We start from the raw sequence: 26,361 nt of genomic DNA, 5'->3' as shown, positions 1-26,361 counted from the left end.
TTCATTCAATCATACCATCAGTAAGACAAATATAACTGTCTTCATTTTTCAGATGAGGAAATTAATCCTAGAGTGGCTAAATTACTAGCTCAAGGTCATACATTGGTAATCTTCCTATATGAGTCCCCTGTGTAAAAGATTTAGAGCAGCACATGGCACACAGTTAATTTTATGTGTTTACTAAACATATGAATCATAAAATATATCCTGCTTCTTTTTTCCTTTAACATTATATCATGACTATTTTCCTATATCATTAAATATCCATGCAAAATGACTTTAGTGGCTGTAATGCTTCACTATATGAATGTTTCATAACTTAGTGTTTGATACTGAGGCCACTTCTATTTTTTAACGATATAAATAATAGCACAATGAACATTCTTATAAAAAGATTAATTTTTTAAATGATAAAAATGACCAGATTTGTACTTTCAAGGGCTAGACCATGGGTAAGAGCATTTTGTATCCCATCAGGACACCAAGTGATGCAAAAGGCAATTGGAAACTCCAGAAAAACCAAACTGACCAAAAAGAAAAACAATCACTCCACTTCACTTATTGTTCCAAAACACATTAAAACAGTCATATTTTAAAATAAGGTGCTTTGAGTTTGCCTAGCCATTCAAGAATATATTCTTCTTAACCACCGTAAATACTTTGTATTTTAAATGCAGTATTGGATAGATAGAATTTATTAGCTGTTAAAACTTGGGCAAATAACTACATCCTGATGCTTGATTTTAAAATTTGCATACAGTCATTGCATGATTAAGTGAGAAAACATTTTGAGCACCAAACACAATGCCAGGAATGCAGAAATGCTGCTTGAAAAAAATCTCCCAAAACAAAAAATGAGCAGTAGTAGCACTTACTGAATTTAACTGAGTGAGAAGATAAATAGTACTGTCAGTTAAGTGCTCTAGACCTTCAGAAAAAGCATAATTAATATGGGCTGGAGAAATGGGCTGGGGCTTGGAAGGTGACAGCATTCAGATGGGCAGGGAGAAAAGGATGCAAAAGCCAAGGGATGGCTTTTCCACATGAATAAAGGAATTCAGCAGTTATGATGTCTCAGGTTGTGGACTTTACCTGAAATGACTGAGATGGAAGATTTTGTGCCCGAGGAAGTGGGAAATTAAAGTTGAAAAGGTATATTGGGCAAATATTGAAGGCATTGGTGAGCAAGCCTAGGACTTGATTTGTGGGCCACGAACATTTTTGTGCTGTGTTGCATCAGGAAAAATTAACCTGGCCACAATGAGCCAGGCTTTAGATTGGTCAGTTAGGGTATGGGAGTTCAATGTGATCCATCATCAAACAGATGGGAAGTGAAGCGGTGTGGGCTCCAGCATGTGGCCCGTGACAGAGGACATGGAAAATGTCAGTGGCCCCAGTGCATCTGTGCCAGCCGCTTTGGCCTCTTGTAGGGCTGTGCGGTGACTGGGAGCTAAGCGCTCCCCTCTTAGTTGGTCCTGGCTGGTGCTGAAAGCGCTTGAGCACACCGCTCCTAGGGCTGATGACTTCTGAGGAACCTTATTGGAAAAGCATTTTGCTCTAAGATTCAGTAAACGCTGTCCCGTGCCAAGGAAGTGGCGTCAACCTGAGGCTCTGGGATCAGACCCACCGGACTCACGCCGGCTCTGCCACTTGTTGCCCGCAGTCTCGGCCCGTTCCCTCTGCGTTGGCAACGGGCACTGACTGTCCGATACCTCAGCGATCGTAGGGGAGTAGAGACGTTCCTAATGCCGGGCGCACCGCCGGCGGGCCGGCGGTTCCGTTGGCTTCCCTGACACACTTCCTACAGTCATTTCTTTCAGCTGAGATCTTTCCCTTTAATACCTCGTTAATTAACGTGTAATCTTTTGGTTAAAATGTCACAGCTAAGACTAAACCCGAAGAAAAGAATGAAACCACGGGAAGTTCTTCAGACAGTCGCCGCAAGGTTATGGGCCGAAGTGGTGCAGGGGCGGCGCCCGGGGAAGCGACTGGCAGAGCTGTGCGCACTGGGGGTGCTGCAGGCGCTGGGGAGAGTGTGGAGAGGCTGCGTGGAGCTGCGCGCTCGGGGTGGGGGCTGCACTCCCAATGAAGCGCGTGAAGGGCAAGCGGTGATGGGTTCTGCGCCAGTGGGGCTGGGAGCCCGTCCGGGGCTGTACATGGGGCTGCGCGCAAGGTGAGGACTGCGCATGTGGGCTTGGGGCCTGCGCGCACCGGAGGCTGCAGGCGCTGGGGAGGGTGTGGGGGGCTGTGCGTGGGGCTGCCCTCACCGGAAGCTGCACGCTCTGGGAAGCGCAGAGGCGGGGGTGCTGCTCGCGCTGGGGAGCACGTGAGGGGACACTCAGGGACTGCCCGCGCGAATGGCTTCCAACGCATGCGCCCCACCCCACATTTCACAGTCGCCATGACGACCGGGAGGTCCGCAACGGCTGCGGGGACAAGTCCGTTGAGGCTGCCAGGCGAGTCAGGTCTCTCTGGACCTCGCCTGACTCGGCTGGGCTGTGCCTGAAATTGACCCAGCTCCACCATACTCCTTGATTATGAGAAAACAAGGAGTAAGCTCAAAGCGGCTGCAATCTTCCGGCCGCAGCCAGTCTAAGGGGCGGCGCGGGGCCTCCCTCGCCCGGGAGCCGGAGGTAGAGGAGGAGATGGAAAAGTCGGCCCTAGGCGGCGGGAAACTGCCAAGGGGCTCCTGGAGGTCCTCCCCGGGGAGGATCCAAAGTCTGAAAGAGCGAAAAGGCTTGGAGCTAGAGGTGGTGGCCAAGACCTTTCTTCTCGGCCCCTTCCAGTTCGTCCGTAATTCCCTGGCGCAGCTCCGGGAAAAGGTGCAGGAACTGCAGGCGCGGCGGTTCTCCAGCAGAACCACTCTCGGCATCGGTGAGGAGAGGGCAGGAGAGCCCTAGGAGGGAGCCGCATGGCGCTTTTCTTGAGTCTTGAAGGAGATCAGTTTAACAAGCAAGGGTTTGTGGGTGCCTAGTAGGAAATAATAGCAAGGTCCGAGTAGAAAGAAGTTGGCCAAAGATCTTGTCATTGAACCAGGGGAGAGAGAGAGATAGGGAGTATATTGGTTTGAAGGGCTGTCAGATCGCAGAGAGTGTTTTAAGGTCTAGGAGTTTTAAAGGCTGAGGGGAAGGATCAAGAGAAGATGATGAGATTAAGATTCCAAGAGAGGAAATAATTAGTGGAGCAAGTCTTGCAATATTTGGGAGGGGTAGAATTAAAGGTACAAATTTGAGAAGCTAACTGTGGAAAAGAGGAGAGAGAATTCCTTTTCTGAGATGGCAGGGAGTAGAAAAGTGAGGATTACTATATGGAGAAATGTTAAAGTGGAAATAAAAGAAGTTGGGAGTGTTGGTGTCTAATGGTCTTTGTTTCAGTGAAGTATGAGGCTGGGTCACCTTCAGAGGTGAGATTGATAGGATGCCGTGGTCCAGGGGACATTCTTCTGTCACAGCTTGGAAAGGGCATGTGATAAGCCCTTCAAGCATTTAGAATACTGGCATCGTTACACCATATCATTTTTTTTCAGATGTGGTATGTGGGTTAAGGGAGGGAGTGAGAGACACAGAAAGATTTTGAGCATCTTTGGAAAGCTGGATGAATTTGGTAGTATATTTGACCTTTTCCTTATATATCATCTGAAGAGTTTTTGCCAGTGTATATAATTGTTGGGAGAATTAGAAATAGGATACAAATATAGTTGAACAGGATAGTCTCTGTATATTTTAAAATTAATGAAGCCTAATAAACAGTTAATGAGCATCTTTACAACCATTTAAAGTTTTCAACCTTTTAAAAATTATAGCAACCGTGCTTGCATACAGTCCAAAAATGCACCATGGGCCATACTTTGCCTATCCTGGTATAAAACAAGTAAATCTTCCGAGAAGTATTTAAGATAAGCCCAGGACAGTTAGTAATATAGGAAAAGATCTGGATAAGCATGGTTGAGAATTTCAACACTGCAATTTTTTAATTTTTAAAAATTTAATTTCTTCAATAATTATTGAATTAATTTGCATTTATGTTGTTAGCCAAGTGAAGTAATTTTTGAGTTTTTAAGAGGCTATTATTGGTGGTTTATAAGATGACTTGCCAAGTATATTTAGGATAACCATAAGAAATACCATTATAAAATCTCAGAAGGGAGGTGGGACTTCTGGAATAGCCAAGGAAATGCACTCCTCCATGACGACAATGAAAATACTTGGAAAATTATCAAAATCATTTTCTTCAAAACTTTGGAAATTAACCAAAGGTTTACAACAATCTAAAGGACATTAATTCAAGAAAAGATGCTGAACCTCTATAAGAAAAGCAAAGTTTGTGGTGTTTTAACTTGTTCTATTACCCACTCTTCTCTCTCCAGAGGAATTGAAAACAAGCAGTTCCCCAACCAAACGGGCACAGGCTGCGTTTGCAGCTCCTGTAAAAGCTCCATACCCAGAGCAGTGTCTCCTAGCTCCCAGGTGAAGTCTTATGTATACATGGGGCGTTGGCACAGGTGACTCCAGACTAGTCTCCTAGGCCATCTAGTAGCTCCTAGGTCTGGGCTCTTGGAAAGAGCTTGCAATTCATCAAGGGTTGAGCTGCACATTGGGGCTTTTAGATGTGCTGCTGAGGAAGTGATTGCCTGCATTTAATCATCTTCTGATGAATGCTAGAGAAACTGATCTAGAGTGGTTCGTCTTGGTTAGAACTACCTGAAGCATACTGTATATACTTACTTCTTTTAAAAATTTCATATAAAGGAATAGAAAATAATACTGAAAAAAATCAAAAAAGGTCACAATCATCCATAATTCCATCACTCTTACCAATTACCTGAAGTAAAAAAACCCTCTCAAGTTTCTCCCTTTGCTTGTCAAGCCCTGCTGCAGAGAGGTAAGCTCTGTTCAGAATTTGCTTTGTGTCCTGGATTTTTTCCTATGCTCTTAGAGACAGGATTAGCTGGCCGTCTTGCTTTGTGTGCTATCTTTCTAGACATGTAAAATAATACATTTGAAATACTTGTTTTAATGGTATTTTATAATAAAGCAGCTATTAATGACTTTCCTTTTTTTCTTTATTCCAGCTGTCTTTGTGGCAATTTTACATTGGTAAGATTTAGTTTCAGTTTGAAATATTTAAAAACATTTGAATTAAAAATTGCCATCACTCTTTGCATACAGTAAAACAATAACTTCTGGCTATATTTGTAGAACATCTTTATGTGCACCAATTTATACATGTATTTTGCTTTTTTACAAACCTCATATGTGAAACAGCATTTACAAAATAGATGCATTAGGGGAATAGTCACTTATGAATTAAAATATTTTTGCTTTACCAAATAATTCACCACACGTTTCTTTAAATATCTAGCTTTTCTAGTGTATTTTGTATGTGTAGTTCATTTAAAACCTTCCTTTATTTTATGGTAATTATATGTTGCTAGTGAAATAACTTTTTTTTTTTTTTTGAGACAGAGTCTTGCTCTGTCTCCCAGGCTAGAGTGCAGTGGCGTGATCTTGACTCACTGCAACCTCTGCCTCCCAGGCACCAGTGATCCTCATGCCTCAGCCTTCCAAGTAGCTGGGATTACAGGTGTGCACCATCACACCCAGCCAATTTGTTGTATTTTTGGTGGAGACGAGGTTTCACCATGTTGGCCAGACTGGTGTCAAGCTCCTGGCCTCAAATGATCCACCTGCCTCGGCCTCCCAAAGTGTTGGGATTACAGGCATGAACCACAACACTCAGCCAGTGAAATAACTTTGGTGATAAAGTTTTAGTAACACCTGCCAATTGGAAATCAGGTAAAAAAGAAGATAAAGATTCTGCAGTGGGTGTACAGAGTTAAATGGCTCTGAGTCTTTCAGTGTGCAAGCCTGTGTACATTATTTTACAAAAGTGTTTATAAAAATTTGTAAAATAATATTTCCTTCTGGAATATTTTATTTTTACCTGTGCTCAGTGATTTCTACCCTTGGGATGTATGAGATCTGCCCCTGTGTTCTATTGACACAGTGCTGCTGTAGACGTTTAGTCTGCAGGGAGATTTTGATGTTAGAACTGAGGCTGCAATGGTAGAGAATATTCCTGCAGTTTTTGGTACCCTGGCATATGGCCTACATGTAAAGAAGGGTTAGTGGAAAACAGGGTTAATATATGGAACTTTGCTTTATTTTCAACTTCACTGGAAAGTCTGACTACATAACTTAGCTATAGCATAATTGTTGACCATAGCTAATTTTGTTTATCACATATGCTCCTTTCTTCACTGCCGACAGCTGTTGAGTTTCACTACTAAAAGGTCTTCAAGTACACACCTGTATTCTTTGGCACTTGAAAGTTTATCCTTTATGTGATATTATACTTATTGTAAGTCTGCTTTGATCTAAAGTAATTTCACTTAAAATTATATTCTGAACCCTTTTCAACAGTTATGGAGGTATTTCCCAAGGCCAGTACATTAGAATCACTTGAAACTTAAAAAACAAACACTAACCTGCCTCTGTTCTGATTTGGAGGCCTGGGATGGAAGGAAGGGTGAAAAAAGCCACAAGAATTTTAGATATACAATTGAGGTTTTGTTTTTTTTTGTTTGTTTTTTTTAAGACAGAGTCTCACTCTGTCGCCCAGGCTGGAGTGCAGTGGCATGATCTCTGCTTACTGCAACCTCCACCTCCTGGGTTCAAGCAATTCTCCTGCCTCAGCCTCCCTAGCAGCCAGGATTACAGACATGCACTACCATGGCTGGCTAATTTTTGTGTTTTTAGTACAGACGGGGTTTCATCATGTTGGCAAGGCTGGTCTCGAACTCCTCACCTCAAGTGATCTGCCTGCCTCGGGCTCCCAAAGTGCTGGGATTACAGGCATGAGGCAACGTACCTGGCCACAGTTAAGCTTAAAAACCACTGAGTTAAGGAATTTCAGGTGTGTGCCATACTGGATTATAAATGCTGAAAAACATACAAGTTAGTAAGCAAATTATAAAATTAATATAACAATTTATTGTTTTCTTTTTTATGGCTTTCTTATTGCTTATTTTACTGTTAGTTTTGAAACTCGTTCTTATTGTAATATGATACTTCATTTTTTTCTAGGTTACATTTAGTAACACTTTTTGAAAATGATCGTCATTTCTCTCACCTCTCATCTTTGGAACGGGAGATGACTTTTCGCACTGAAATGGTTAGGTTTCTTCTTCTAATGAATTAATTTGTGGTTTAAGAATAGCGAGACTATGAGGTAGAAATGTATTAGGAATTGAAATGAACTTCTGGTCAACTGCACTGTTTCATAAGCTATAACCCAGGTTTATTATTTAAATAGTAAAGTGTTTGAGATTATTTTTCTGTTACTTCATTATCTCTCACCCTTTCCTAATGCAGACTTCTTTTTAAGATAATAAAGATGAATTATAATAGCTGAGGAAAGAGGACAAAGAAAGCACTGAAGAAGTGATAAAAGGGAATGAAATGAGATGTTATCAGAAATTGCCTTCTCTTTGGCTACAGTTAGATTCCATGTTTTACCTGGGCCTTTTAATGATGACGATTATTATTTGGCTTTCTTTTGATTTCAAGATAATCTCTTTTAAGAGATAACTTTTTATATAATTTTAAAATAATTTTCTGTTTTTCAATACTTAATCTTTAAAATGGAGTTTTGTGCTGTACATATCTCACATAATTATTGTGAGGAGTAAGCGGGATAGCAAATGCCAAAATTGCGCAATTTTACATTTAGAAGACACCACAACCGTCCATCTTCCAGATCTGCTCACAGCTGGTCGGGGGCCTAGTGAAGCATTGAAACTGGCTCTCCTCAGTCTAGCCATTGCTTTTTGTTTAAATTATGGTAAAATTTAGATTTAAATTTGTAATAAAAAATTTCAATGTTTATCATTTAAGTGTACGATTCAGTGACATTAAGTACATTCGTATTGTCTTGCAACTATTACCACTGTCCACATCCAGAACTTTTTGCTATCCCAAACAGAAACTCTACCCACTAAACACTAATCACACCCAGCTCTATTTTCTGTCTCTGTGATTTTGCCTATGCCAGGCCCCTCAGTCACTGCTTTTTAATTTTCATCCCTATATTGCCCCTATAAAGTTTCAAAGCATTGGATACATTAACATATGTATGACATTTGAACTTTTTAAAGATATTTCCAAAGACAGAATATAAAATATTATTAAATAAAGAGTGTAACTGTGGCAGAGTCTGGACTTTGGTGACAGATCGCTGGATTCTAATAGCAGTTCTGCGCTTTATTGAATGATGGCTAGTCAGGTCACCTCTCAGATTCTCAGTAATCTCGTCTGCTCAATAGAAATAATGCCAACCTTAGAGGGGTTTAGGGAAAATGAAGGGAGATAATGAATGGCAACACATAGCAGAATACTTAACACAAAATAATAGCTGTTATTAGTAACTTTTTATATATTTAATATTTCCCTAAATATAGTCTTTTGCATATTAGATATCTTTTAATTGTTGTATTGCTTTGTTATCCTCCTAAGCAGAAAGGAAAATTCTTTATGAATTCATATTTTGCCAATCAACTATGAGGTAATGGCCTTTCAGACATCAGCTAAAACAGACCTGTAATTTAGTACTTACTCGTGTTGGATGAGGCAGATATGATTATAGCATATAGCATTTTTTAGGGAGAATGCATTTTAAACAATGTGGCCCTTTTTTGCTTTTAGATTTTAGGAGTGAAAGCAAGAAATTGTGTTGGGGAATTTCTTCTAGTTGGGGAAACTAGACACAATATGCTGTTGTTAATCCATGAATTTTAACTCAACAGCACTTTTACTATCCTAATGAAGCCTTTATTTTATATGCTGAAGTGTAAGACACTAAAATAATCTGCTTTTTAGTACATAGCGTTTGTGAGCAACAATAGTCAATTGACACTGAGCTTTCACTTTGCACAGAGGATTAGATGGAGCTATGAATTAAGCTAGAAGCACTGGATTCCTTGCTCATGATGCTTATGGTCATTATATTTTATTTCCTAAGAGCATGGGAAAAAAAGTAATTTTCTATATGCAAAGTTGTACAGAGGCATGAAAGCATCCCTGTTTATGATAGAATTAATCAGATGTCAACCTTCAAGCATCTCAAATGTGGGGGATAAAACCAGATTTGGGAAAATCAAACATATACTGTCTACACATTTTAAGACATTATTAGAGAAACTCTTTAAATTGTTTGACCATCCCTCCATCTCTTTAGTTTGAAAGCCTATAGAAAATTTGAAAGAATATTACAGTGATCACCTGAAAATACGTGTTCTTTAAAAACCAAGAATGCAAAATAGCGAGAAGTGATTAGGAAGTCTTATTATTAACCTTTTTTTTTTTTCAGAAAAAAAGTTCTAAAGAAGTGATAAAAATAAATATTTTAAAGTTTTAATTACATTGACAATATATGTCTTTTTTTAAAAAAAGGGACTTTATTATTCATACTTCAAGACCATTATTGAAGCACCTTCGTTTTTGGAAGGACTGTGGATGATTATGAATGACAGGCTTACTGAATATCCTCTTATAATTAATGCAATAAAACGCTTCCATCTTTATCCAGAGGTGAGTCATAATTTGAGACAAATAATATTTGTAGAGTGATCCTCTTTGTCAGATAAAAATAGTAAGCACAATCTTGTTAAGAAAGGGAGGGGACGTTTCAGGTTTATTAATTGTGTGTATCCTTATAGTTGAGTAGAATATCATAAGTTCCTCTCTTAAAATTTAAAGACCCCAGAAACTGTTCTCTCATGAACTCGAAGAATGAACCTTAGTGTGTAAATAATGGCCAGGGTAATAGACAAGCCAAATGGAAAAGAGAGTCATGGGAGCCAAAAAGTTCTAAATAGGGATGGGCTTTTGGCTTTGGACACCTCGTGGGTGAGCATGATGACCACGTGAAGGGACAGTAAGAGTGATGAGCTTGAATAGTGATCTTGGAGTTAAGTTAGTAAAGTAAGATTTATTTAGTCACACAGCCAGAAATCTATTACTATTTTCCAACACTTAGCCTAAAAGAGTATGGTTGTTATAGTAGTCTATAAATGCTAGAAATTTGAAAAACGGAGACAAAATTAGTGAACTCAGTTTGTGAACTCAAGATAAATGCTAAATTTGACACCATGGTAAATACTACTGTTGAGTTTAAAATTGTCTCAGAATCCAGCATATTAATGAAAACTTACTGCTTTCTAGTCCTTTATTCATATTTTTATAGCTTTTAAAAATTATTATTCTTTAGATTTTGAAATGCTTAAAACTACAGACTTAGAAAATAATATTCAAATATGTGTGATCAACCATCTAAAATAAATAAATGCTAATCTTTGTCATTTTTGCATCAGCTATTTTAAAATAATTAAAATATTATAAATACAGTTAAAATCACCTTTGTTCTGCTTCTAGTCCAACTTATACCTTTATTAAAATTTGATGTGTGTATCCATCCAATCTCTGTTTTCAGAGATTGTTTTATTATATGCTTTAAGTCCACATAAATGATCTCATACTGAATGTGTCACTCTAGGATTTTTTCTTCAAAATTGTATTTTTGAACTTTCTGTATATATATATTTCTTTAATTTTAACCGTTTTATGAATTGTAAAGTTTATGTATTTCCCCATCTTAATATATTATTTCCAATTTTTTGATTACAAGCAATGTAATCTAAAAGGTACACTTTTGTATGGTTTCCTTCTGTATATGTGCAATATTTTGTCTAGGATATATACCTAGAAGTGGAATTGTTGTTATAGAGTGTGAGCTTTTTCAGCTTTACCAGATATTGCTAAATTGCTGTCTGAAGCAAATGTAGCAGTTCACACTGCTGTCTAGAATTTTCTCATATCCTTATTAGATTTTGAATTGTCAGACCCTGTGATTTTTACTCTTACGATGGCTGTGATATGCTTTTTTGTTTTAATTTGTACTTCCCTTATTTATGGGGATAAATATATTTCCATGTTTAATAAGCATTTGGATTTGTTCTTCTGTCAACAACATATATAAATCTTTGTCACCAAATCAGCTTTTTTGAGGTATGACTTACATGTAATAAAATGTGCCAATTTTGAGTGTACCATTCTCTGAGTTTTGACAAATGTATGAAGCTATATATCCATCACCACAATTGAGTTACAAAACATTTTTGGAATGCCAAAAAATGCTCCATTGTGGTAACTGTCTTTTCCCCCATTGAATTAATTGTCTCGGTACAATCGTTGAAAATTGATTGACCACATTATATGTGAATCTGTTTCTGGACTCTATTATTCTCTTGATCTATAATTATGCCAATACCACACTGTCTTGATTACTGTCACTTTAGAATAAATCTTGAAAGTAGATAGTTCTCTACCTTTTTCCTTTTTAAAATTGCATTTCTATCTAATGTTAGGGTCAGCTTATTAATTTCTCAAAAAAAAAAACCTGCTGTGATTTTGGTTGGGAATATGTTGGATTTGTACATGTATCTGGGAAGAATTGACATCTTAACAATATTGAATTTTCCAATCCACGATCATGGTATAGATCTCCATTTTGTTGATTATTTTTAGTTTGTCTCAGCAATGTTTTGTATTTTTTCAATGTACAGTCTTCCCCAGTACTCTTTTATTATAAATGGTATTATTTTAAAATTTTTATTTTTCCATTTTTTGTTGCTTTGGTGTAGAAATATAGTTGATTTTGAATATTAACTTTGACCTCGATGAAGTCAGTGGTTCTAGTAGCTTTTTTGTAGAATCCTTTGGATTTTTCTATGCACATGATGATACAGTCTGTAATTAAAAGCAGTTTTACTTTCCAGTAGATATACCCTAAATGTTTTTAAACAGCTTTATTGAGGTATAATTGACATATGATAGCTGGTCATATAGATGAAGTGTAAAGTTTGATTAGTTTTGGCCCACCTGCAAAACCATCACCAGTCAAGACAATGAGCATATCCCTCATCCTGAAGTTTCCCTGTGCTCCTTGGTAATCCCTCCTTCCTTCATTTCTCTTCACCCACATCCCATCCCTAGGAAACCACTAATATTCTTTTTGTCATTATGGTTTAGTTTGCATTTTCTAGAATTTTATAGAAATAGAAACAGAGTTGATCTGTGCCTAGGTCTTAATTTATGCGGTTGACTGAGTGATGACACAGATAGATCAGTGCCGCTGAAAGAAGAATTTATGAGTAATACTTCCTTGGAGAAGAGGACAAGTCACATCACACAGAGCCACAGGAGAGAGATAGTTTGGTCAGGTGGAAGCAGTATTGAGGGTAAAGCCTAGGCCATCGCTTTTATTGGGGTTTCTATGGAAAAGGCAAAACTGGGCAGAGTTTAAAAAAGAAAAGAAATAAAATCAAAAGACAGTTGACAAACTGGGAGAAGATATTTGTTTGGTTTCTTTTTGTTTGTTTTGAGACAGAGTCTCACTTCATTGCCCAGGTTGAAGTGCAGTGGCGTGATCTCGGCTCCCTGTAGCCTCTGCCTCCTGGGTTCAAGCGATTCTCCATCCTCAGCCTCCGAATAGCTGGGATTACAGATGTGCGCCACCACGCCTGGCTAATTTTTATATTTTTAGTAGAAACGGGGTTTCACCATGTTAGCCAGGCTGGTCTCAAACTCCTGGCCTCCAGTGATCCTCCTGCCTCGGCCTCCCAAAGTGCTGGGATTACAGGCGTGAGCCACCATGCCTGGCCAGGAGAAAATATTTGTAATATATCTCACAGATAAAGGGCTAATACACCTAATATATAAAGAACTCTTAATTCTTTATATATTTAGCTTCTGGAGGCTTCAGGTGTCAATTTGGTGACGAAGAGAGCTGGAATGATGGCACTCTCATTCCTACAACAAGGAAAATAGCCGGACAAACTGCAATATAACACCTTTTCTTGAACCCTTCAGAAAACTGAAGTCAGAGGACAACCAACTCAAAATTTCAAGAAGGACAGGTGCCTGCAGAAAGCACAAAGAACTGAGCATTCTGCAATAGGAACTGCTTGACTGAGATAGATGCTTTTGAATGCCATATAAGCTGGTACAAAGGTTAAACCAGAAATTTTTTAATGAACTGCTACAGGCTTAGTGTGAGCTGGTATGAAATGTGAAGGTGAGCAGGCTCTGTCAGGGAAGATTGGGGAAGTATTTAGAGAAAGTTTTCCCTATGGTGCTGGCTAGGGGACAGGAAAAGCAATCATTGCTCAGACTCTGCTCACACCCATGTTGTGAAATCTCTCCTAAGGAAAAGAAAGCCATGATCTGCAGGGAGAACGGTATCAAACCCATTGTCTGAGGACACTGGTGGGTATCCAGTGAAGCTGGTGAAAGAGAACAGGCAGGAAAAAAAAAACCTAAATGTTAAAAAACAGTCATATTCCTTGAGGAAGGAACACTTATGAAGGGTGCAGCCCCCAAATCCCAAATTCACAGTACCTGTCTAAGACTGAGGCTTAATTGGAATATCAGAAAACCTGTCACTCTTCCCCCATTACATTAACAAGCCTTTGGTAAAAATCACAGTGGAATGTGACTGAGTGAGTTTTGCAAGGCATTTTCTTTCTAGGGAGCAGCACAAAGGAAAACCCAAAACCAAGTTCAAAACAAGGTACCACTAGAGGAATTTGAAATCACTAGTGTCCATAGCGGCAACAAACTCCAGCTTTGGTAACTATAGCAATTACAAACTTCAAATCCAGCCCACCCTAACTAGATTAACACAAATCCCTACAATAAAGACCTAACGGTAAGAAAGATGTTCTTAATTTCAAGCATAAAAATACTGACCTCTATGTCTACTGTCTTATACAACATGTCTAACTTTCAGCAAAAATTATGAGGCATACCTAAAGGTAAGAAAAAGCACAGTCCGAAGAGACAGAGCAGTCATCAGGCAGACCCAAAGAAGATACAGATATTGGAACAACTGGACAGGAGATTTAAGTAACTATGATTAATATTTTAAAGACCCAAATGGAAAAGACAGATGATATGCAAGATCAGATAGATAATTTTAGCAGAGTTGGACACTATAAGAATCAAAGGGAAATGCTAGATATAAAAAAAAGAAGTAAAAAATGCCTTACATGAGCTCATCAGCAGACAGCACAGCAGAAGAAATAATCAATGAGTTTGAAGATAGGTCAGTAGGAATGCAAAGAGAAAAAAAAGTGGAGGAAGGAAATGATAGAACATCTAAGAGCTGTGACACCATATCAAATATTCTAATATATGCATAATTAGAATCCCAGTGGGAGAGGAAAGGATGAGGAAGAATAAACATTTGAAAAATAAATGACTGAGAATTTTCCAAAATTAGTGACAGATACCAAACCACAGATCCAAGAAACTCAGAGAACATCAAAAAGGATAAATATCAAACAAATGCATGAATGAATAGATAAACAAACCAAACATGCATATGCAAACCTAGGGGTAAATGTAAACGCATTAAAGAGTATGAGACAGAGACTATCTCACAAAGCCTAAAATACTTATCGCCTGGCTCTTTATAGGAGAAGTTTTCTGACCTCTTATCTAACAGAATGAATAGACTAGGGATATAATGTGAGTTTCTTGGGCAGCACCAAGGGCTTCATTTGAGGTTGACGGTCTTGAATTGAGAACAAAACCAGCCAACAGAATTGTGTTCCTCCAGCTATAATCAGATTCCCAAGTATAAACACGGAGAAAATGGAGAGTTGGATTTAATCATGTTGGGTCAGCTTTCCCTTGGATGTAGAAAGCCAAAAAGAACATTGCTTGTGGCCTTCCAGCAATGTCAGCAGCAACAACAACAAAAGCCAGACAGTCTTCAAATTTACAACTTTTCCTGAAGCGGTCAGGAAGCTGAGGTCACAGGGCAATCAAATAACCCAAAATAAATTAAAAAGATAAAGCATGTGCAAGGAGAACAGAAACAAGCATTTAATTACATGGGTCATGCCACTAGACACAATGGTAAAGAATTAAACTCAAATTGTTCACCAGTCAGTCGGTAAATGCCTAGTATGGGTTAGCAAGGGTATTTGCAATTGCTTACAGACATTTTAACACAGACCTCATAAGGTGCTGACAAAAGATTAGCAAGAGTGCTCAGAAAGCATCCTCCATGGTAAAGCCTGGGAGAACAGGAGCCACTTAGAGAAAGGCGTGAAACCCACCCCCCGACCCTTCCTTATCTCCCCTATAAGTCTTACACTCTCTTATCTTAAACTGCTGGGGGAAAGGTAAACAATATCCTTTTCACATTACTGGTACAAAAATAGGCCACAGATCCTGATATGGTCCTTGAGCCTTACTTTTGCTAACCCCTTGATGCCTGTTTCATATCTTCTCTCTCCAGTTATCCCAAACCTCCTGTCCCCCTTTCACTCTCAGCAAATGACCTTGTTTTCTACTGTTTTCCCATGCCCATTATGTATTTCCTAGCTGTATCCCAGGTGCCTACTTCCTGGAATATGGAGTTGATTCAATATCATATTTGTTGAATGAATGAAACTATGCAAATTTCCTTGTGCTACATACTCAGTAGTCAATGGATACAACGTAAGCACAACCAAAATTTGGTTTATCTGTATCCTCACCTGCATTTGGTATTGTCACTATTTTTTATTTTACTCATTCTTACACATATGTAGTGATATATCATTATGGCTTTAATTTGCATTTCCCTATTGGCTAATGACAGTGTACATCTTTTTGTGCTTATTTGCCATCTGTATGTGCAACGTGTCTTTATGTATTTTGCTCCATTTCTATTTGAATTGTTTGTTTTATGAATTTTGGATCTTAGGATGTTCCTTATATATTATAGATGCTAATTATTTTTCATATATATGGCTTGCAAACATATTTTCCCAGTCTGTAGCTTGCCTTTTCATTCTCTTAAGCAGGGTCTTTTGCATAGTGTTGTTGAGTTTGTCTCAATTTTGGGGGAATTTCTGTCTATTTCTTCTATCAACTAAAAGAATTAGTTGAAAATACTAATTCTAGTTTTTTGACAGAGGGATTCTGAAGTCTCCTAGTAAAATTATGTATTTGTTCATTTCTCCGTTGACATCTATCTGTTTTTCTTCACATATTTTGTAGCTCTATGTTTGGCACATATGCATTTAGGATTGCAGGGTCTTCTTGTTGAATTTTTTAAAAAATAATTTAACGATGACTTTTTCTTCCTTCTCTGATAATTTTGCTTGCTCTGAAGTGTGCTTTTTTCTGATAATGGCATCGTCACTTCTGCTTTCTTTTCATTACTGTGTGTATGATAAATTCATCATTTTCCATCCTTTCACTTTCAGCCTGACTTTATTATTATATTTGAAGCGAGTTCCTTGTAAACGGTTGGATAATATTTTTAAATCCCATTTGTCAATATATCTCTTAATTGTTATGTTTACCAATTGGCCACTTACATTTAATATAGTTATTAATATGTTAGAGTTTAAGTCTGCGATTTTATTTTGTGGTTTCTATTCTTGGTTTTCAATTTCTGTTTGCTTTTATTTTAACCTTCTTGTGGCAGAACATTTTATTTGAACATTGTTTAGAGTTATATTTTGATTTATCTATTTTTTCAATATATCACTTTACAAAGCTTTTTTTAGTGGTTCTAGTGATTGTATTAACACAATTTATTACAATCTGTTGCTGCTGTCATTTTACTGTATGTTTTAATCATCAAACTTATTTTAAACTCGTTTTACACATATTTTATAAACTCAGGAAGAAAGTGAAAGCCTGTTTTATTTTATCCATGTTTTTTTATTTCTTCCTCTTTGATGTTCCAACATTCCTTCTTTTATCATTTCATTTCAGTTTAGGGGATTTTCTTTAGCTACACTTTTAGAATAGATGTCTGTTCTAAAAGTTCTGCTGGCTGCATTTTTTTAAATTTGTTTATTTATTTTTATTTTTTTTTAGTTTTTCTTAACTCAGAGAATGCAGTTTCTTTTCATTACTGAAGGATATTTTTGCTGGACATAGGATTCTGGGTCGATAGTTCCTTTCTTTCAGCATTCGGCAAGTGTTGTGCCATTTTGTTCTGGCCCTCCATAGTTTCTAATGAGAAATCCACTGTTAGTTGAATTCTTTTTCTCCTTTAGGTAAGGGTTTGTTTCTCTCTTGTTGGTTTCAGTATTTTTTTAAATTTCATCTTCAAAAGTGTATCAAAGTATAATGTTCAAAGTTCAAACGTTTTCTAAAGTATGTTGTGTTTTAGTGTGGATTTGTTTAGATTTTTTCTGTTTGAGATTTGCTCAGCTTCTTGAATATTTAGGTTTATAACTTTTGCCATATATGGGAAGTCCAGTCATTATTTCTTTTTCTTTCTTTTTTATTTATTTATGTATGTATTTATTTATTTTGAGACAGGATCTCACTCTGTCGCCCAGGCTGGAGTGCAGTGGTGAAATCTCAGCTCACTGCAACCTCTGACTCCTGGAATCAAGGGATCTGCCCACCTCAGCCTCCTGAGATGGGCAACCACCATACCTGGCTAATTTTTTTGAATTTTTTGTAGACATGGGGTTTCACTATGTTGCTCAGGCTGGTCTCAAACTCCTGGGCTCAAGCAATCTGCCTGCCTGGCCACCCAAACTGCTGGGATTACAGGCATGAACCACCGGGACCAGCCTCAGTAATTATTTCCTTGAATTCTTTTTCAGCCCTGCCTCTTTCCTGTCTCCTTCCAAGACTCCAATGACATGAATGTAGGATCCTTTGTTAAAGTTCCACAGGTCCCTAGGGCTGTTTTGTTTGTTTATTCTGTTAGCATCTGTTTTTTCTCTTTTGCTCAGATTGAGTAATTTCTATTGTTCTGTCTTCCAGTTTACTGGTTATTTTCTTCTATCTCTGCCATTCTCCTCTTGCGCCATCCATTATTTAAGGTTTTTTATTTTGATTATTTTATTTTTGAGTTCTGAAAATTTTGACTTTTCTTTATGTGTTCTATTTTTCTGCTGACACTTTTTCTTCTTCCAACTTCTATTTTACGTTCATGGGATACATGTGTGGGTTTGCTGAATAGGTAAATTGCATGCAGTGGGGGTTTGGTGTGTGGAGTATTTTGGCAGCCAGGTAATAAGCATAGTACTCAATAGGCAGTTATTCAGTCCTCACCCTCCTCATACCCTTCACCCTCAAGTAGGCCCCAGTGTCTGTTGTTCCCTTCTTTGTGTCCATGTGTACTCAGTGTTTAGCTTCGCTTATAAGTGAGAACACAGAGTATTTAGTTTTCCGTTCCTGCATTAATTCACTTAGCATACTGGCCTCTAACTCCTTTCATGTTGCTGCAAAGGACATTATCTTGTTCTTTATAATGGCTGCATAATATTCATGGGGTATATGTACCACCACATTTTCTTTATCCGTTCCACTATTGATGGCATTTAGGTTGATTCCATGTCTTTGCTATTGTGAGTAGTGCTGCAGTGAACATACATGTGCATGTGTCTTTATGGTAGGCTAATTTATATTCCTTTGGGTATATACCTAGTAATGGGGTTGCTGGGTCAAATGGTAGTTCAGTTTTAAGTTCTTTGAGAAATTTCCAAACTGCTTTCCACAGTGTTTGAACTAGTTTACATTCCCACCAGCAGTGTATAAGCATCCCCTTTTCTCCACAACCTCACCAGCATCTGTCATTTTTTGACTTTTTAATAATAGCCATTCCGATTGGGTTAGTGTGGTTTTGATTTGCATTTCTCTAATGATCAGTGATGTTGAACACTTTTTCATATGATTGATGGCCACATAAATATCTGATTTTGAGAAATTTGTGTTTATGTCCTTCACCTACTTTTTTTTTCATGTTTTAAAAAAGTGACATTGTATTATTACTATCCACAGGTGGGGCCTGCATGATGTGGTAGGTATGCTGGGCTCAGGGGACATGTGGGCTGTGAGGAGGAGATGATGACAGAAAGGCTGGATGGAAAGTGGGTGGGTTTGAAGGCCAGGCCCAAGGGGTCCTCAGTTCCACTTCTGGGAAGGGACAGCCTTGAGGAAGGAGTCATGGCAAGCCGCAGCTAGGCCACCAATCAGATTAAGAAATTTTGGGAAATCTAACTACCCATCGCTGCTGACAGCCAGTTTCTTCATGCGGTCAAGGACACCGGGGTCCTTCTGGTTCTTTGTAAAGGCAGCCAGCTCTTTATTCATGAAGCTTGGGAACTCCGTCTTGGAGAGATTGCAGTTGTAACCATCCTTTCCAGCATACTTCTGGAAAACAGCTATCAGGGACTCAATGCACCGCGCAGTCTCTGTAGGGCCGGAGATTTTTGCCATGTTGGAGCTGAGCAAGGCACGGGAGGCTGTGACTGGGAGTGGCACGGAGTACCCATTTTTTATTTGGGTTTTTTTTTACTTTCGATTTGTTCCTTATGGATTCTGGATATTAGACCTTTGTCAGATGAATAGTTTGCAAATATTTTCTCCCTTTCTGTAGGTTGTCTGTTTACTCCCTTGGTAGTTTCTTTTGCTATGCAGAAGCTCTTTAATTTAATTAGTTTGCATTTGTCAATCTTTGTTTTGTTGCAATTGCTTTTGGCATCTTCATCATGAAATTTTTGCCAGGGTCTATGTCCAGAATGATATTTTCTGTTTTCTTCTAGGGTTTTCATTGTTTTAGGTTTTACGTTTCAGTCTTTAATTCATCTTGAGTTGATTTTTGTGTATGGGGAAAAGAAAGGTGAAGTTTCAGTCTTCTGCTTATGGCTAGCCAGTTATCCCAGCATCATTTATTGAATAAGAAGTCCTTTTTCCTATTGACTTGTGTTGTCAGGTTTGTTGAAAATCAGATGGTTCTAGGTGTGTGACTTTATTTCTGGGCTCTCTATTCTGTTCCATTGGTCTATGTGTGTGTTTTTGTGCTAGCACCATGCTGTTTTGGTTATTGTAGCCTTGAAATATAGTTTGAAGTTGGGTACTATGATGTCTCTGGCTTTGTCCTTTTTGCTTAGGATTGCTTTGGCTATTTGAACTATTTTTTGGTTTCATATGTGTTTTATTTTATTTACTTATTTATTTATTTTAACCTTATTTATGTTGAAGGAGTATCCATATAAGTTTTAGAATAGTTTTTCTAATTATGTGAAAAATGTCATTGGTAGTTTGGTAGGAATAGCATTGAATCTGTAAATTGCTTTTGGTAATATGGTGATTTTAACAATATTGAATCTTCCTATTCATGAGCATAGAATGTTTTTCCATTTGTTTTTATTGCCCCTGATTTCTTTCAGCAGTGTTTTGTAATTCTCATTGTAGAGATTTTTCTCCGCTCTAATTAGCTGTATTCCTAGGTATTCTTTTATAAGTTTTTTTATTACTTTTTTTGTGGCTATTGTGAATGAGATTGCATTCTTGATTTGGCTCCCAGCTTGGACATTGTTGGTGCATAGACATACTACTGACTTTGGTACATTGATTTTACATCCGGAAAGTTTGCTGAAGTTTTAAAAAGACATATCTAGGAGCTTTTAGTAAGAGACTATGGGGCTTTCTAGGTATAAAATTATATTGTTTACAAAAAAGATAGTGTGAATTCCCGTCTTCCTATATGGATTTATTTTCTTTCTTTCTTTTGCCTGATTGCTCTGGCTGGGACCTCCAGTACTATGTTGAATAGGAGTGGGGAGAGTAAACACGCTTTTGTTGTTCCAGTTCTCAAGGCAAATGCTTCTAGCTTTTGCCTGTTCAGTATGGTGTTGGCTATGGGTTTTTCATAGATGGCTCTTACAATTTTGAGGTATGTTCCTTCAATGCCTACTTTGTTGAAGGCTTTTAAAATGAAAGGATGTTGAATTTTATCAAAAGTCTTTTCTGCATCTATTTAGATAATCATGTGGGGTTTTTTTTAGTTCTTTTATGTGATCAATCATATTTATTGATTTGCCTGTGTTGAACCACCCTTGCATCCTAGGAATAAAGCCTACTTGATTGTGGTGGATTAGCTTTTTGATGTGCTGATGGATTCAGTATGCTAGTATTTTGTTGAGGATTTTGCATCTATGTTCATCAGAGATATTGGCCTGAAGTTTTCTTTTTTACATTGTGGCTTTGCCACATTTTGGCATCAGAATGATGTTAGCCTTATAGAATGAGTAAGGGAGGAATCCCTCAAGTTTTTGGAATAGTTTCAGTATGATTGGTATCCGCTCTCCTTTTATGTCTGGTAGAATTTGGCTGTGAAGTCATCTGTTCCAGGGCTTTTTCTGGCTGGTAGGCTTTTTATTGGTGAGTCAGTCTTGGAACTTGTTATTGGTCTATTCAGGGTTTTCATTTCTTCTTGGTTAAATCTTTGGAGGTTATATATTTCCAGGAATTTAGCCATTTCTTCTAGGTTTTCCAGTTTGTGTCCATAGAGTTGTTTGTAATAGTCTCTCAGAGTTTTTTGCTTTTCTACAGGGTCAATGGTAATATATCCTTTGTCATTTCTGATTGTGTTTATTTGGGTCTTCTCTCTCTTTTTCTTTATTAGTCTAGCTAGTGGTCTATTAAATTTATTTGTTCTTTCAAAGAACCAACTTGTGGTTTTGTTGATCTTTTGTATGGTGTTTTGTGTCTCAATTTCATTCAGTTCATCTCTGATTTGGTTATTTCTTGTCTTCTGCTAGATTTCGGGTTGGTTTGCTCTTATTTTTCTGGTTCCTCTAGGTGTGATGTTAGGTTGTTAATTTGAGATCTTTCTAACTTTGAAGCGGGCATTTAGCTCTGTAAATTTTCCTCTTAACACTGCTTTAGCTGTGTTCCAGCAATCCTGGTATGTTGTATCTTTATTTTCATTAGTTTCAAAGAATTTCTTGATTTCTACCTTAATTTCTTTGTTGACTCAGAAAGTCATTCAGGAGCAGGTTGTTTAAATTCCGTGTAATTATGTGGTTTTGAGAGATGTTCTTAGTATTGATTTCTGTTTTTTTTGCTGAGACTATCTATTTCTCTGGTAAACTTTTCAAATTTTCCATTTGTTTTAAGCATGCTCATTAGAGTATATTTATGATTGTTGCTTTAAAATCCTTGATAATGCTAATATTTCTTTCATCTCTGTATTGGAATCCATTTATTTCTCATTCAGTTTGAGATCTTTCTGGATCTTGATGAGTGATTTTCACTTGAAACCTAGATATTTTGAGTATTATGTTATGAGACCGGATTTTATTTAAACCTGCTATTTTAACTAGATACCTCTGGTATCACTCAAGCAAAGGAAGGGGAAAAGGGGGAAGGCACCATCTTGTTGCTTTCAGGATCATCTGAGGTCAGGAGTTTGAGACCAGCCTGGCCAACATGGTGAAACGCTGTCTCTACTAAATATATAAAAATTAGCCAGGCATGGTGGTGGGCACTTGTAATCCCAGCTACTTGGGAGGCTGAGGCAGGAGACTTGGCTTGAACCCAGGAGGAAGAGGTTGCAGTGAGCCGAGATCATGCCACTGCACTCCAGCCTGAGTGAAAAGAGCGAGACTCTGTCTCAAAAAAAAAAAAGCCCAGGGAAGGTGGAAGTCTAGCTTCCCCACTTGGCCTTTGTTTATACGGTATGGGTAGAGCCACATTTTTTTTACTTTTGACTTTTTGGGTACTTTTTGTATATTTGTCTTAGTCTGTTTTGTGCTGTTTGAACAAAGTATCTGAGACTAGGTAATTTATAAAGAATAGAAATTTATATCTCACAATTCTGGAGTCTAAGAATTCTGGAGTCCAAGGAAGTCCAAGATCAAGGCGCCAGCAGATTTGGTGTCTGGTGAAGGCTGCTCTCTGCTTCCAAGATGGTGCCTTGATGTTGCATCTTCTGAAGGAGAGGAACACTGTGTCCTCACACGGCAGACAGTAGGAGAGTAAGATAGCTTTAATCTCACTCATGAGGGGGGAGTCTTCATGGTCTAATCACCTCTTGCAGGTCCCATCTCTTAATACTATCACATTGGCCATTAAGTTTCAATACCTGAATTTTGGATGGGACACATTCAAACTATAGCAGTGCCCATTGGCATTTCTGGATTGCCAGCCTCTTTAACTCCAAATCTCAGAAAATGAGGCACAAAGAGAGCCCACGGAACTCATAACCATATAAGTTATGGTACATTTCTAAATGTACATTTCTGCTTCTGGGCTCTACTCTATTGCAGTTATCTATTTGTCTATTGCTGTGCCAATATCATAGTGTCTTTTTACATTAGCTTCATAATACAGCAACAATTGATAGTGCAAATCCTCCTTTTTCAAGAATACCTTGACTGTATTTGGCCCTTTGCATTTCTGAATAACTTTTAAATCAGCTCATCAAAGTCAACAAAAAATGTGTTGGAATTTTGACTGGTAGAGCATTGAATCTATAAAGCTTTTTAATATCAAAACACGCAGTGTTTGTTTTTATGTCCTTGCGATAGTTTGCCAAGAATGATGGTTTCCAGCTTCATCCATGTCACTATAAAGGACATGAACTCATCCTTTTTTATGGCTGCATAGTATTCCATGGTATATATTATTATTATTATTATTATGAAGAGAATGTATTTACCTCAATTATCTCTTTGTTTTTATCTTTTTTAAGGTAATCATAGCCTCCTGGTATTGCACATTCATGGGAATAATGAATTTATTTGGACTAGAAACTAAGACCTGCTGGAATGTCACCAGAATAGAACCTCTTAATGAAGTTCAAAGCTGTGAAGGCATGTTTCTTCCAAAAATGCTGTCATTTGTAAACATTCATAAACATTTAATAATATTATGATTCACTTTTAAGAATTATTGTAAAATTCTGTTGTTGATTTAAAAAACATTAGAACTGACTCACATCAATGAGTATTTTACATTTTAAAATAGTTTTCTGAGAAGGCTGTGTACTTAAAAATTTGAGTATAAATTTTGGAATTTGAGTATTAACATATCCCATTGTAAGGCAATCTTGACTATAAGTTAGTCTTCTATTTCAGAATGAGAAGATACAGAAAGATGTTTTTTGGGGTAGCTGCAATATATAAATTTTGAGGATACATTAAATAGTCAAATATCTATTTGTAATAGCTAATGTATAAATTTAATTATGCATACATATTTAAAAATTGGATATGCCATAATAGATTGATTTAGAAATATTACTTTTTTATATATGCTCATAGTCCATGAGTACTATTAATAAAACTCTTCCTATTTATCTTCTACATTGGTTTCTTTGTCAAAGAACCACTTTTGGAATCATCTAACAGCTTTCCAGGATACATAGTGGTCACTTCCATTTAAGATGTTTGCATTTCAGCACTTTTACAATTCAAGTATGGTGCCGTCCCTTGAGACTCTCATTCAGAGCCACTTGTATCTGTTTTCATAACACTAACACTGTAGTTTTTTCTTTATTTCTTCAAATTCTTAACAACATGACTTACTATATTTTATGAATAAATTTTTAGACTTGTTTGTAACAACATTCAACTCTTGGGATATAAACTAAATCTATTTTCCTTACATTTTTTACTGATTCCCTCAGTAAAAATAGAATTGATGAGGATGTTTGAGGGGCAATTATACTTTTTTGTGTACAATGTAAAGGATTGGAGAAAATGCCTCATAAAATGAAAGACTTTGCAATGATTCAATCAGCTGGAAGGTGTGACCCTGTCTGAGTGGTGAAAATGATCACCTAAGTATGGTATTAGTTACATTCCCAATAAGTGATAAGTTAGTGTTTGGCACTTGGGACACAGAGATGAACCAGCTAGACGTGGGGCCTTACCCTCATAGAGCTTATGCTGTAAGGGGGCTGTTAGCAGTTACAACTGTGATGGATATTACAAATAAGAAAATAAGGTTACTGACACTAGGAGTAAGAGAGGATAAGTATTTTAAGAATAGGGAATAATATATTCAAATACCCTGAAACAAGAGAGAACTGAAAGAAGGCTAGAAATCCTAGAAGCGATGGAGAAGAAAAATGATGTGAAATGGTGCTGGGAATATAAGCAAGGATCAGATCATGAAAGGGGTGCACTGGTGAAGGATTTTATACTTTATCCATTGAAGAATTTTAACAGAGTTCCATTTTAAAACATTATTTAGTCAATGGTATGGAAAAAATATTAGTAAAGGAACAAAAGTAGGTTAAGGGAGGCCAGGTAGGAGACAATTATATTCTCAACAAGTGATTGCAGGAAAGATAATGTGGAAATGCCTGGGTATGAGAGAGAATTTGGAAGCAGAATGGACAAGACTTGGTAATTGTTTGGTAAGAGAGGAGAAGGTGAGTGAAGAATCATGTGAAACATAGTTTGGTTTCTAGCTTAAGTAACTGAGCTCCTTTGAGTGATAGGAAACATTTGAACAGCAGCAGGTTTGTATTGTTATGTTTCATTGTGTATGCATGAATTTGAGGTACTTGAGAGACCTCAGAGTGGGGACATCAAGTGGCTATCTGGCTATAAGAATAAGGAGAAAGTTCTGGATTAAATGTAGAGTTGGAGTCATCTGTATATAGATCATTGGAGCTGTGGATGTGGAAGAATTTCCTTATGGAGAATATGCAGATGGAGAAATGAAGGGGGGATATGACAGAGCCTAAGGTGGTCCAATATTAAAGAGTGGTACATAAAACAAGAGAAGTTACTAGAACTGACTGAAACGAGCGATCAGAGAGGCAGGGGGAATCAGAAGGCCAGCCTTCAGACCTTGGCTCCAGCCAGTTAAAGTGAAATAACCTTTGACAAGTTGAATATCTTATGTTCTGTTTTCTCAACCATAAGAAAAGTATGTTTATACCAGCTAATATCATAAACTTGTTCTGAGAAAAGTGTGGGATGATTGTTAAGTACATATTGCCACACACACACACACACATGATCTTCTATATGGAATATACTAAGATTCTAGCTATACATAATAATGGATCAAATGACTGGATCATTTCATATAGACTAAAGCTGTACCCTAAAGTCAAAACCATATCTTAACTCTTCCTAGAACCTAGCAAAAGATAAAAATAATGTAATGGATTTTCTTTTGTATTCATTAAGTGGTTCTACAGACAGTTCCAGACACTGAACACTAGCAGCATCACCTAAATAAATGTGAATCCCCAACAAATCATTACAGTATAATAGTAATTCATTGGAGGAAAGTATAAATGCAATTATAAAAAGTATAAAGTATAAGTGTAACTATATAATCACTCATTAAGGGTGAGCTTACATACGTGTATGTGTATATATACACACACATATATATACACACATACATATATATGTGTCTGCAAGCACACACACACACAAACTCTTATAAGGGTAAATAATTAAACACAGCAGCAATCTGGAAAGCAAATGCTTTCAGCAAATTCATGAGCTCTTGATTGCAAAGC

At 37.4% G+C, this 26,361-nt stretch overlaps 1 protein-coding gene and 1 pseudogene across 24 annotated transcripts in view, besides 3 other annotated features; one reads left to right on the top strand and one right to left on the bottom strand.

Moving 5' to 3' along the window:
- Nucleotides 1,031-1,530: an enhancer, noted in NCBI's record as "H3K4me1 hESC enhancer chr12:64063181-64063680 (GRCh37/hg19 assembly coordinates)". NCBI's record gives its function as "activates a minimal SCP1, AML or CMV promoter by ChIP-STARR-seq in primed H9 embryonic stem cells {active_cell/tissue: H9 hESC(primed)}" and the evidence as "EXISTENCE:reporter gene assay evidence [ECO:0000049][PMID:30033119]".
- Nucleotides 1,531-2,032: an enhancer, noted in NCBI's record as "H3K4me1 hESC enhancer chr12:64062679-64063180 (GRCh37/hg19 assembly coordinates)". NCBI's record gives its function as "activates a minimal SCP1, AML or CMV promoter by ChIP-STARR-seq in naive H9 embryonic stem cells {active_cell/tissue: H9 hESC(naive)}" and the evidence as "EXISTENCE:reporter gene assay evidence [ECO:0000049][PMID:30033119]".
- The window catches only part of DPY19L2 (dpy-19 like 2), a 109,893-nt gene continuing 85,657 nt past the window's right edge, over nucleotides 2,126-26,361 (top strand). For 18 of the 24 annotated variants that reach the window (XM_047428727.1, XM_017019192.3, XM_024448944.2 and 15 more), the window contains exons 1-5: nucleotides 2,438-2,874; nucleotides 5,072-5,096; nucleotides 7,086-7,173; nucleotides 9,450-9,587; nucleotides 23,566-23,686. In XM_047428727.1, the coding sequence (XP_047284683.1) occupies nucleotides 2,538-2,874; nucleotides 5,072-5,096; nucleotides 7,086-7,173; nucleotides 9,450-9,587; nucleotides 23,566-23,686 (709 nt within the window). In that variant the 5' untranslated portion in view covers nucleotides 2,438-2,537. Of the gene's footprint in view, nucleotides 2,174-2,437; nucleotides 2,875-4,366; nucleotides 4,467-5,071; nucleotides 5,097-6,770; nucleotides 6,916-7,085; nucleotides 7,174-9,449; nucleotides 9,588-23,565; nucleotides 23,687-26,361 lie in introns of those variants that run through there. The other 6 variants (XM_047428722.1, XM_024448946.2, XM_024448947.2 and 3 more) reach the window with 6 other exon arrangements.
- Nucleotides 2,482-2,541: an enhancer, noted in NCBI's record as "active region_6585". NCBI's record gives its function as "activates an Ori minimal core promoter by ATAC-STARR-seq in GM12878 lymphoblastoid cells {active_cell/tissue: GM12878}" and the evidence as "EXISTENCE:reporter gene assay evidence [ECO:0000049][PMID:35858748]".
- Nucleotides 18,824-19,353, bottom strand: S100A11P4 (S100A11 pseudogene 4; annotated as a pseudogene).

This window comes from Homo sapiens, chromosome 12 (genome assembly GCF_000001405.40).
Source record: "Homo sapiens chromosome 12, GRCh38.p14 Primary Assembly".
Classification (NCBI taxonomy): Eukaryota; Metazoa; Chordata; class Mammalia; order Primates; family Hominidae; genus Homo; species Homo sapiens.
This window is presented reverse-complemented; position numbering and strand designations above follow the sequence as displayed.